Genomic DNA, 14,542 nt, shown 5'->3' on the forward strand with positions numbered 1-14,542 from the left:
GCATACCTAGTTCAAAGAATATTTAAACACATGAGGTTTGTAGACAATTTAATAAAGAAATATTCAAATAAGATTACCCTGTTATTTACAAAGCTGGCGGACTGTCTCTGGAACAACAGTTACCTCTTGGGTTATCATTTCTTATACAAAAATATATAAATTAACATGGAACTTCACTAAGTGTGGAACTTAGTTTACAAAAGTCAATATTGAGTCAAAGTGCATTCCCTTGGATACTTATCAAATAAGCGTATTAAACAATGCCCCCATATGATCTTTAAATGACATATTGCCCATCTTTTAGCATTGGTTTCAAGTTTGGGAAAATTTTTCTTTACACAGCCTCATTTTAAACTCCCTTCATTCTAACCAACCTCCAGGATTAAAAACATCACCCTGATGACATGATCCACTTTCCATGGCACGCTTCCAAGCCTGAAGCCAACCGTAAAGGGAAGAAAGGCAGACAGTGTAATCTGAACAACATTCAAGGCTTTTACAAGTATACTGGATTATATATTTCAGTTGTTAAAAGGAGACTGATTTTGAGAATGAAAGGGAAACAAAACATTATGGAACTGGTCTTAGATTTCCACCCAAGGTCAGATTGAAAAAACAATGGGAGAAAGAGCAGATTGCTTCAAGAATGCAACTGTGTTCAGCTTCTCTGATATTTATATTTTTCATAACAAAAAATTATAAATAATAGTAATCCGTAGGAGTATTAACAAGTACATTCTGATATAATTGTGCGATTAAAACACACTACATGATTGAAATTAATTAATTGTAAATTCAATGTGGTATCCTGGAATGAATCCTGGAACAGAAAAGGTGTGTTAGTGAAGAATATAATAATAAAATCCAAATAAATTCTGAAGTTTAGTGAATAGTAATATATCTATGTTGGTGTATTGGTTTTGACAAATGTACCATGGTAATGTGAGATGTTAATATTAAGAGGAAAGGGCAAGAAGGTTATGGACACTAGGTGAATTATCTTTGCTACTTTCTTATAATACTAAAATTATTCCAAAATAAAAAAGTTATTAAAAACATCAATTAAATTAAAACTAAATTTATCAATAAAGATAAATCACAAAATGTGTCTTTGAGGAAAACTATATATGTATTGCTTTCACTTTTTTGCTCATCTTTAACTGGCCAACATATTCAGATACTTAGTTCACAGATATTTAAACTTAAAAATATCAGAACATCACATGCTCCTTATGAGAAGAAAATGTATTTTTTTCTATAACTACTCATTGATATACCCTTGTTTGTAAAGTGAGAGGACTATAAGAAATAATATCGATAACACTTAAAGAACATGAATAATTAATACATGATATTTTTACATATTTCAAAGTTAACATACATTATTTTATCTGGTTCTTGCAGTAGTCACTTCAAGCAAGCAAAAAAGTATACTAAGGGAGAGATGAAGGAAATTGCAAAACCAATTGCTATACATAAAAATCTGTTTTACTCATAAGTATCTGTGAATATACTAAGGCGGAGATAGTCAGGGAAGTTACATGGTACGACTAGTTAGTCTAGAGTAATAGTTGGACCAGAACCCAATTGTTTCAAATATTTTATAACTATAGTGTGACTATGAATTTTTTTGAAAAAATTAATAAATTAGCTCCTTCAAAATATTTTGCAGATCCTCTGCTGTTCTAAAGGATCCTGTGTGCTAGCCAACTTGTGCAACTGTAGATTGCATATCAGCATAATCCACAATATTTAATTTTGTTTCTCACTACATAACTTTTTCCCCTTTATTTTCCTTTTCCCCCTTTTTCCCTGAAAAAGTTCAGATGATTTATCTACATAAATGCCAGATCTTCATTCATTCTTATGCTCCACCAGCTGATCAGACCAACCAAATATTCACAGTAGAGATAAACCAGACCCAGATCTCCTTCTGTAAATCAGTCAAAGGGCCATTTCAGATAAATTGTTTCTGAAATCTAACAAAAACCTATTTCCAGGTCAGAGTTTTCTGAATGTACATTAACTCTCCTTGACTAAGTCAGGTAGTGTCAATAAACCTATCAATAATTTTGTTCTTTTTACTTTCTCTTATAAGTAGAGAGAATGGTGGACGGCTTCCTGCTAACTGCCTTATTCAGTAGAACTCCACATTCAGGGAGAGATGAAGGAAATTACAAAACCAATTGCTATACATAAGAATCCATTTTACTCATATATCCTTGCCTACTGTCCAAAAGACTAACTACTGGCATAATCCCCTGAATTTTTTCTTAATTCCCTAGGATTCCCTTTATTTTCAAGCACCTTCTCACTTAACCACAATGATAAATTCAGTAATCCCCAAATACATTAAATCAAAATTTCTTTTTACAGTTATTCTAGTCTCTTTAAAAGTCCTGCACTTAAATAATAATGTATCTTTTATTTGACTTCTAGAGTTCTATCCTATAATACTTACAGCTAGTACTGCCATTATCTTAACTTTGTTCTATCTGGAGGTACTGATACCACAAATCATCAATGTCTGTTTTAGTCAATATAAATATAAATATAGAAAAATAATATATTTCAGCAAAAATCAATCAAGCTTATGCACGGTATCATCTCTTCTGAACATTTTCCTCTGAAAGAACACTACTACCATCCAACCCCTAAAAGCCTTATTTTATTGTTTTTATTTCAACATCTGTCACATTGTAACAATCTTAATAAGCTCATGGAACTAGCAACCTTAATGCACAGTGAATTCTGGTTTGTTTCCATTTATATAGACTAGCTAGTAAGAACTGAATTAGTTTAACTAGTCTGTATTTTACGTCTTATTTCTAACATTGAACTATTATTAAAAAATAGAATATGGGCTTCTAGTTTTCTTCATAGTATATTCAGGTAAGCTTCACCAAGGAGGTCATCCTTGAGGCAATATTCAAGCTTCCTTGCATTGCCTTGGAGAATTTTTCTGTAGTTTTCCCTCAACATGGCTAATAGATTCTTTTTAGGAAGCATCACATCAATTGTTGCAGACCTTACTTTTCGCTTCAAGAAATAATGTCGTTTCTAGTCTCAGAATTTTTTCTGCCTAATAATTTTTTTCCTATATTTCCGAATTGTATTTCAAATTATTTATCCAATCGCAGGGACTATAAAATGTGTCCTTTTATTTCTTTTCTTCTCATGAATGCAAACAAAATGGAAAGGCAACAACACTTTAATACTTTGATTCATTTTATTAAAGTAAAATTATAGTAGAAAAGAAAGTAATTTTTAAAATGTTGCCTTTTGAAGAATAATGAAAAGAATCACAGGATAAATCTTTCCAGTGAATAAAACTTCAAGACAGAAATGCTGCCCTCCAAAATGAAAATCTAACTTATTGAAATCCTTGGGCACCTAGTGACTCCAAATGAAAATTCGATATACCATTTTTGCCTTCTGTTCTTCCTATTCATTTAACAGACTAAGCAAAATGTACACTGCAATCTTTCATAAAGGAAAAAACATAAAAAATTATTGACTAACTTACTCTGTGGATTTGATAAATTAGACATCAGTATTCAATATCAGCAATATTCTCTTTCTATGTCCTTTCCTTGAAACAACCCATAGGAAACAAAAAGAGTATAGGGAAAGCTCGATTTTTCCTTCTACTTGATTACTGTCTTTAACCTCTCCATCTCATCCCAATCTTATGACTGTTTAACCTTTTACTTTCTAGGACTTGATAAATATCTTTCCCATTTTTTAACATTTTAAAAATAGCTTATTTCTGATATGTTATTCCATTTATCACTTTGTGGCATTTTCTGGCTGTGGGAAGAACAACTCATGCAAAGCTCAGTACTAACCTTTAGATACTTTTTACAAGCCAAAAATGTCTTATTTCACCTTTTATGAATTTATTTTTGGGTGGTTTTGTTGATTAGCCACCCCACAAGTCAGGTAGGAAATGTGTGAAAAAATACAACATGAAGAGAAAATGGAAAGTCATCAGGGTGATCTCAGTATGGGAAACAGGGATTGCATTAGTTATATTTATACCGGCCCAACTTCATCACTCCCTCATAGTCCAACAAGAATCTGAACAAATGCCTTTTTGTTTCAGGACTTCTATGAAAGAATAACTTCCACTTAGAGAATATTGTTCACTGTATTTTTAAGATATAAAATTGCTAATAAGTGAGAAACACATAGCTTGAAAAGATGTGTAGTGGACTGTGATTTAAAACAAAATCACCTTCAGAGAAACAAAAGAACATGGCTTAATGGATTTACATGTTCTAATATATTTAATCATTGGTTTATGATTCTCAGTCACCCATTATCAACAGAAAGACTTTCTGATTTAGACAAAGTAGAGGCCTTCAGTATCAAATGCAGGCGGCTTTTGACTGTGGCTTGTGGCATTCCCACATAGACCAAACAGTGATGCCCTCATTCTTACTGAAGTAAGTGGACTATTGTTCCTCAAGACAAAGAAAGTCTCCCCATATATTTGTAAAGAGTGAAAGAGAACACAAACATTAATAACCACTAGGAGCTCTCTTCTCTGAAATGTTCCTTTAATGCCAATGACAAAATTGGCAAATACTGAGATCCAATTCTGCTGCCACATTTTCCTATACTGCCTTTTATTTCTTTCTAGGCTATTTCTATATACTAGAAAATTAATCCAACTCTTCCTTGAATCATAACTCATGCTAGTGATTCACTAAAATTAGTTTCTGGTGGCATATTTATTTTCTCAAAGCCAAAACATTAACACTGAAGATAATGTGATGTCCATCCTCTATCACTGGGTTGAAACTTCACATGGCTTTTAAGTATTTGGTTGCACTGCTCTCCCTCCTCCCCAATTTAAAATACTTTATGTAATGTGATATTGTATAGATCATGGATCTAGCATGGCCCTTCATTGCTCAAAGTCTGTGTTAAATTCTAAAATCCCTATAAAAATAAAATATTTAATAAAATCCACAAAATAATAAAATGTTGTGAAACTGACATTGTTTGAAACAATCCGAGCTAGTAATCCTCATTTTGTTTTTCTACTTCCATAAAAGAATAATGAACTTAAAGGAAGTTTTTCCTATTTTCAGTTTTACAATTTAATATTTTACATTTTCACAATATTCTTGTCACTCCACCCTGTCAAAACTTCACGGAATGAAGTTGCAGTTTCAGCCTACAGATGATTGAACATCATTTTTTTTTCTTGTCTCTTCTGAGAATGCTTTTTTATATGTATATATACATTATTCATGGATTTTCCTTTCCTTTGGAATCCAGAACACATTATATTTAAATGCAGAATATTTCTTATATTCTAGCTTAAATAGAAGGATATATCAGTCAACAATTGAGATCAGTGTAACAGGTTTGGTCAGTACCCTTTTCATTTGTCTCTAGAGAAAATGTTTGACACGATGAACATTCCTTGTTTGGTTTCTTGCTTCTGACCTGAGTACATTCTCTTCTTTCAAACACTGCTACTGATGTACCTGTTTTCTGGAAAAGCTGCTTCAATCAAAGATAAATGTCCATATCCCAGTAGCTTACACATCCACAAAAGGCTTAAGTATCCCAGAAAAAATTTGAGTGAATGACAATTCTTCACAGTCTCTAAAGTGTTATTGTTATGTAAGAAGAATACTAAATTAGTTAACTGATACCTGCATTATAATTCATTTATGATTGATATCTTTTGCTAATTATAATAAAACTTGATTCTGGGGATTTATATAATTTTGAGACTGTTATTATGTTGAAATAGTAATGTCTTCAGAAAACTAACCATAATAAAAATGTTGGTATCATAATTAAATAATGTGTACTAAAGTATTTTGATCACTATGGCTAAAATTCTAGATACTTTTCAATCCCTAAAGCTACAGGTTTTCTATACTTCATGCTTTGGTACTGATTGTCAAATGTCAAATTATCTTTGTTTTTGGTTCTCTCTTTAGCAATGAGTTCTTCAGCATAAATATGATTCAAGTAGACGACCTTGGATTAAGCTCTCTTTCTCAGCTACTCTCACTGCAGTGCCAATATACTGGCGGCAATATAAAGATTTTAGTAGCAATGTTTCCCTTGCATGTGATAAAACAGATAATAAATATCAGCTTTCCCCAGGTACTGACTAGCCAATACTATCTTTAAGACACTAAATGTGCTCTTCCCATAAGTTAAACACTGAAAACATACTCAGAAAGATCAACACAGACCCTTATTTTTTACAACGACATTAACCATGTTCTAATGCAGAAATACATGATCATGTAGAAAAATAACAGTACATCAGACTGATAAAAACAAATCTAATTATATTAATAATTTTAGTAGTAGGAGTAGTATAATCAATATTTAATGATGGTTTTTATAACCATTGCGGTGAGTTATTTTTTATATATTACTTAAGCTTCACTATAATATCTCTAAGGTAGATAATTTATTACTTATTTCTTTTTAAGAGGAAAAACACATTATCTGAATTAACTAGCTAGAAATTTTCAAATCTGTTTTTCATACTATTCGTCAGTCACATCCATGTTCCTTGTCACTATACTATACTCTTTTAAGGATACTAAGTTCATCTTAGGTCACCATTCCTAGGATTTATTTTATGTTATTCTCTTGAAAATTCTATTTTATCCAAATATTACTAGTCATTTAATATTTGTTAGAACTCTATCTATTATGCTATAATATGTATCAATATTTTTCTTATTCTGATAGGATATATTTAAATATGATACGTATAATCCAGTAGTATTTTCTGTTTTTATTTTTTTTAACAAGAGGCATCAAGGACACTTAGCATATATCAAGTTTTTCCAACAAGCTCTAAGAGAACGCTCAAACTTCCTGATAATTCCAAATGTTGTTTCTAAAACAGTGGTAGGAAATCTGGTAGTAGTTGAAACATTCGTAACAAGTCTAAGCTAGATGTCTTCCATTTATCCCTCCAGGTTTGTTCTTTCTCCATCTCCTCCTGCCCTCTGATCTGATTGGTTGGACTCCATGGATTATGTTAACAGGGCACTTTTACCCTAAGTACTTCTTATTTTTTAGCTCACAGGTAAGCAGGCAAGAGATTAGAGGGATGGAGGACAGTGAGCTTAGTTACATTTTTTAAATTGACTTTATTATTTAGATCAATTTTAGGTTCATAGCTGTTGAGCAGAAAGTACTCAGAGTTCCCATATACCTTCTGTCTTCCAAAAACACAACCTCTCCCACCATCAAGATCTTGAACCATAAAGGTACCTTGTTACAATCAATGCATGTACATTGAGACATCATTATCATCCAATGCTCATAGTTTACATTAGTGTTCAATCTTGATGTAAATTCTATGTGATTTCCACAAATGTATAATGACATGTGTCCACCATTACAATATCACACTGAGTAGTCTCACTGTTCTAAAAATTCCCCCACTCCACTTATTCATCTCTCCCTCCCCTAAGTGCTACCAATAACTAATCAGTTTACTACCTCCATAGACTTTCCTTTACCAGAGTAGCATATAATTGGAATCATATAATATATGGCATTTGCAGAATGGCTTTTAGTAATATGCAAATAAATATTCTCCATGTATTTTTGTGGCTCAATACCTGATTTCCTTTTAGCACTGAATAATATTCTATTGTCTTGATGGACCACAATTTATTTATCCACTCACCTAATTAAGGATAGTTTGGTTGCTTCTAAGTTTTAGCAATTATGAATAAAGCTACCATAAATATCTGTGTGCAGGTTTTGTGTGGATATAAGAATTTAACTCATTTTAGCAAATACCAAGGAACTCAATTTTTGGATGGTATGGTAGAGTCTACTTTTTGTTCTGCCTCTTTTTCCACAAGCCAGGAGACATTACAAAATGTAATGCCTAGTTGATGGTCACTCCCTTTATACCGTCATGCCTATGGGCGCTAGCAGCTCTGACCCTTGCAGCCCAGATTATGGCATTAACCTATGCAGTTCCTTTTTAAATAAACACTCTTCTTTCTCATGTGTCATCTCTTCCTTTTTTTGACATTAAGTAATAGAAAAGGCAAAGCAGACAAAGACCCAGTTCCTGTTCTTCAGCATTTTGTTATTTCCCATGTGCAATATTTAGAAAAAATATTGCAGTGTAAAGATGATGTCCTCCTAGACTTTTAACAAAATACTCTGCAATAGATAAGCTTCTTTTTATTAGAAAAGCCTGGCTGTGGGGGAGGGACATCTACACCATAGATTTTGCTCAGTTAATATATCTAATATCAAAGTACCTTTTCACTACATCAAAATGATAGTGATGCTTCCTTCATAAGAGTTTCCTATGTTTGTTCTAGGCAGAAATTACTGTCACCCCATTTGCTGCCAACAACCACGTGAAGAACTATTACTATTTACATTTTACAAGTTAGCAAAGGAATAGTCTTTTGCAAATCAAGAAGTTGAAATGGAATTTAAAATTAGGTCTAAATTCAAAGGTTTTACTTCTAATTATTTCAATTCTTCCCTCTTTTAAAATCTAAGTACTTAATGCTCTGTATAATGTTTAAATTACCTGGTTTAAATTCCAAATCACTATATTTGGAAACAAAACCATGAGTTCCCATATGCTTAGGCCATCTCTCTTCATTCCCCTCCCCTGATTTTCTAGCTGCATGCTCACTAGATGAGCAATAGGGGTCTGTGGTGTTCTTCCCCTTGCTGTCTGTCCTCCCTGTGTAGTCATCAGATGCAGACACAGAAAGCCCAAGCCCTCTGCCTCTCCCTCTCAGATATTCTGCCTCTGCACTCTCTTCTTTCTGGAAACTATCTCTCTCTTGCACTAGATTAACAATTTAATTCTGAAAACTACAGATAGAAGACAGATTGCTTTGGAAAAGCAATATGTCTGATGTTTCAGCAGTCTTGACCTAATTGAAGTGAAGAGTCAAGGGGAGGTTGTAAAGTCATACAAGGCAGGCTATGATTGTAAAATGGAAATATTGATAAATTCCTGAAAACAAATTTACTTTATTAAATTTGAATATTAAAGGCTTAAACAAATATGAGAATATAATAAAAATTATAACATCAAAACTATATGAATCCATAAAAGGAAGATTAAAAATGTCCACGGAGAATAAGAGAAGGCACTTGTCTTCTGGACATATTCAAATATTAGAGTTTTTTCTTCCTTTCTGAATATTTAGACTTCTTTCACATTTGGCTTCTCACTTAAACTCCAACCATAGTTGTGAACTACATGGACAGATACAGAACTCTTATACTTACAACGTATTTTTAGAAGCAACAAAGGTAGATAATAAACTTGCCAAATTGTTACAAAACAATTATATATATTATATTTTCCTCAGCCTAGTCTCTCTATTGAGTAGATTTTGCTTTAAACACACCAATGGAAATCATGGGAATCATAATTATTCATGTTTTCTGGTGATGCTTATAAAGAAAACTCACAAAAAAACAGCATACAGAATATAAGAGAATTAATGATGCCCCAGCTTAGAAGAAAACTAGAACTAATAAAGAATTTAATACTAGAAGTCAACAGGTTAGATATAATTAGTAATTGCCATATGAAATCAGGAAAGAAAGTCCTAATGAATAAACAGAATAAGCCAAAGTGAAACAATTAAATTAAATAGCAAACTTGCAATTGAGAGACAGTTAAGACTTTATTCAGATTTTTGGATCAAATTATTCAACCATGAATTCATTTTACTGCATATGATGAAGGGTTGTAGTTATTAGCCTTGGTAGAAGACTCAACATAATCAGCATTCTGAGATCTCAGGACTGGCTCTTTCAATATAGCATACTTTTTATGCAGACTTTGCCTAATATTACCTCATAAAAAAGTGATCACTCTTTTCTGACTTATGGCATTCCTCAGAAATTTTAGTTTACCATGACAGCTGGCTACAGTATTTTTGTGTAGGAAAAGCTAGAATTTATGTTGCCCTCAACTAATCATAAATGTGGATCCCGGTAAAATCATAATTTATAATGTAAAGATTTATTAGCTCTGTCTCCTAAATGGGTTTTCATGTACAAAATAAAGTTTTTTTTACTAGATCCATGTTATTAAGCAGCATACTATTTTATGAGTTGAATCCACCCTCTATTTGTATTTAAAGTTCTTAGGAGTGCCCTATTTATTTTTTAAAAAAGAAAACAATAAAAGAAAATTATGTTTACATAATAAAGAAAAGGGTAACTTTTCTTTATAATAATGTTTATGTTTCATGTTAACCTCAAATCAGTATCCCTACCACTTTCAAGGTTATGTTGTATTGATGAGTACATATCCTGGATGAGTTTCCAATACCCCAGTTCCCTAAAAAAGATGCAACCCACACAAACATAACGCACATCCACAGACATTCAAACCCCTCCAATAACCGTAGGTTTAACCTCAAGAATTCTGCAGAAGTAGGATTTCTTTCAACCGAGACTTTCTCTCTAATGACGCTAGATTATATATATATATAAAATCTAGATTTTTGGATCAAATTATTCAACCATGAATTCATTTTACTTCACACGATGAAGGATTGTAGTTATTAGCCTTGATAGAAGTCTAAGCATAATCAGCATTCTGAGATATATATATATATATATTTATATATATACCCATACAACACATAAAGAACATAATTGTTCATGTTTTTTATTGATACAAACAAAACAGTAATAGTAAATCTCAAGAGTCTTTGCAATGTATCGTATGCCTGACTCACAGCCAACATAACCTATTAATGTGTTAGTAGTTAACATTTAGAAGGATTTTTTTAATACAAATATTCCAAGTTAGGAATTACTCTTAACAAATGTTGAACAGCATACCACTCTGATATAGAATGTAAAAATATAAAATTTATAAGACACAAACCTAATACCCAGAGCAATGTATTATAAGAGCTCCTTAGGAAAAGATGCCTTATCAGAATGCTGTGAAATTTCACAGAGAAATAAATTATGACCAGTTTATTGAATTGATTGCTTTTTAACTAATTGGTTAATTGGCTTTTGGAGAAAGGGACAGCAGTATCTCAAGAAAAACATTATGAACAAGGTTCCTGTGGAGCTCTGAAAATATAATAGGAGCCAGGAATGGTGTGGTTCATGCCTGTAATCCCAATACTTTGTGGGAGGAGCACTTGAGGCCAGGAATTCAAGACCACCCTGGACAATATAGTGAAACTCCATCTCTACCAACTGGGTGTGGTTGGTGGTGATGCCTGTAGTCCTACCTATTTGGGAGGCTGAGGTGGGAGGATTGCTTGAGCCCAGGAGTTTGAGACTGCACTGAGCTATATGATCACACCACAGTACTTTAGCCTAGGTGACAGAATGAGAATTTTCTCTAAGAATAAAATTAAATTAAAATTAAAAGAAAGTATAATAGGATTTCAAGGAAAATAAGAAGAGTAAAACCAAACATTAGAAATAAAATACCTTTAAATATGCTGACGAATATCAAGTAGACCAGACAGATGAATGAGAGTTTTATCCATTTATTAGACATATCCAAATACCTACTATTTTTCATGTACTGTATTGACTTCCATGCCCATGCTGTGGAACCAAGAAGGTTACTGGCCAAATCCATGTGCTCAGAGAGTTTATATTTAGCAAGGATAATAAAGCAAGCAAGTAAATACATATTAATAAATATATTAAATAATTGTACATTATAATAAGGGCTGAAAAGGGAATCAACTAGGGACTTAAAATAAGAATTAAAAATTAAGAAAGGGTTGACTATCTTATTATGCTTTCATGGAATATTTCTCTGATAATGAATTATTTATGGTGAGTGCTGAAGGACTTATTATGGGATTATGGGTGAAATGGGACTCTGTGTAGAAGTAAATGCAAGTGTGAAGGTCCTGGATTTGGTCAAAGCATGGTATAGCAGAGGGAATTAGAGCAGCCTGCAAGAGCAGCATAAGATGAGGAAGAAGGCCGAGTGTGGTGGCTTACGCCTGTAATCCCAGCACTTTGGGAGGCTGAGGTGGGCAGATCACGAGGTCAGGAGATGGAGACCATCCTGGCTAACACAGTGAAATCCTGTCTCTACTAAAAGTACAAAAAATTAGCCAGACTTGGTGGCACATGCCTGTAGTCCCAGCTACTCAGGAGGCAGAGGCAGGAGAATCTCTTGAACCTGGGAGGCAGAGGTTGCAGTGAGCCGAGATCATGCCACTCCATTCCAACCTGGACAACAGGGCGAGACTCCAACTCAAAAAAAAAAAAAAGAAAAATGAGGAAGAGGAGGGTAGCAGGACCAAGATCACACAGGGCTTTTAAAACTGTGTTGGAGATTTTTAATTTTATTCCATATATAATGAAGCCATTGACAAATTACAAATAGGAATTGACATGATCCAAATACAGTATCATCCCTGTAGTTGCCCAGTAAAGAATGGTTTGAAGGATGAGAAGAATGAAAAAATATATGATAGTTAAAAAGGTGCTGTCATAGTTTAAGCAAGAAGAGATGATTATCTAAAGCAGATTGGTGGCAGCATATATGAAAATAAATGTACTGATAAATGGGCTTTGGGGGCTGAGATAGAAGAATAAAACCAACAATAAATATGGGTTTCTGGTTTCAGAAAATGGTAAGTTGGTGGTATTATTTACTGCAGTAAGAATCAGTTGGAGAGGGAAACAAACATATCAAAGAAAAAGAAAAATGCTCTTTTTGGTCAACTTAGTTCTTACATATTGATAAGAAATTGACATAGGAATGACAAGTAGGCAATCAAATGTGTGCCCTTCTAGAGGATCAGGCTAGAGATACTTATTTGAAACTTTTAGCATATTGATAAACTAAATGTCATGAGAATAAAGTAGATGATTTAGACAGAGTGTGTAAAATGAAAAAAGATTGAAAAGGAGTTGCCATTCATGTAAGAGAACAAAGAAAACAAGAATATGTGGTACCACACGACTCAAAAAGAAGTGTTTCAATATGAGACATAGAACAGATGCTTAAACACAATGCTTATAGGAGTAATTCAAATTTAATTTTACAGGCTATGAGTAGTGTTTAAATCCTATTAACATGAGTCATGTGGTTTAATTGTGGTTTCACAAGACCAACCAAACAATACTATCTGGGATGCCCTGAGAAGTAGTCATATATCAGGACAAGATAACAGACTTAGCCAAGGATGCACATTTGAGGTAAGGCAATGTTAGATGATGCGATGCTGGTGTCAGTGGGAATTAAAAACAGGATATATTTCAGATCTATGTAAAACTAATGTTCCCAATATATTGCAATGAGGAAGAAAATTAATTTGGTTGTTTTCAAACAAAATTCATTAAAGAAATCATTTACAAAAGCATATGAAAGCAAAGGGAAGAAGCTGGAAGTTTTTAGCAGATTGGTGGGGATATACCTAATGAACATCCTGTTGGAGATGTTCATAAAATATTAGAAATATTGTCTTTTTCTGAGGGGAAAACTTACTGATGTCATGATTTTAAGATATCACCAATGTAGAGTGAAGAAAAGACATCCAATGAGACTAAAATAAATGAAGTTTTAACAAAAGAGGGATTTTATTTCTTCCTAAAATAAAAGGTAGAGGTGGTCAGATAAAGAGAACTTTCTCAAAACTTAAAACCCTTGCTGATTTAAAGATGCAAGTATATGAAGAGACAAGCTTTATATTGGGAGAAAGTATCTGACAATTCCATTGTAGTAGTATATAGATGTTTCTATATCTACCTATATGTATGTATATTACTATGTCATATAACAGACATATATCTCTGACTATATATCTATGAATATGGCAAAAGATTTTTTTTATGTGAAAAGTACTTACAGTTTAATAAGAAGACAACTCAATTTTGGCCGGACGAGGTGGCTTACGCCTTTAATCCCAGAACTTTGGGAGGCCGATGTGGGCGGATCACAAGTTTAGGAAATCGAGACCATCCTGGCTAACACGGTGAAACCATGTCTCTACTAAAAACACAAAGACAAAATTAGCCAGGCATGGTGGCAGGCACCTGTAGTCCCAGCTACTCGGGAGGCTGTGGCAGGAGAATGGCGTGAACTCGGGAGGCGGAGCTTGCAGTGAGCCGAGATCGCGCCACTGCACTCCATCCTGGGTGACAGAGCAAGACTCCGTCTCAAAAAAAAAAAAAAAAAACAGAAGACAACCCAATTTTAAAATTGATCAAAGAATTTTAAAAATTCACTTTTATTTTTGTGTTCTAGAGATGGAAGTGTCACTCTGTTACCCTCACTGCAGACTCTAACTCCTGAACTCAATCGATCCTCTCACCTTGGCCTCTCTAGTCGCTGGGATTATAGGCACGAGCCACCATACCCAGCAACAAAAGATTTGAAGAGCCATGAGTATATAAAAATGGCTCAAAATCAGTAGTCATTAGGGAGGTATAAATTAAAACCATGATGAAATAGCACTACAAACACATAAGAACAGCCACACACACACACACACACACACACACACACACACACACACAAGATTGATAATACCAAAGC

This window comes from Homo sapiens, chromosome 13 (genome assembly GCF_000001405.40).
Source record: "Homo sapiens chromosome 13, GRCh38.p14 Primary Assembly".
In the NCBI taxonomy this organism is placed as follows: Eukaryota; Metazoa; Chordata; class Mammalia; order Primates; family Hominidae; genus Homo; species Homo sapiens.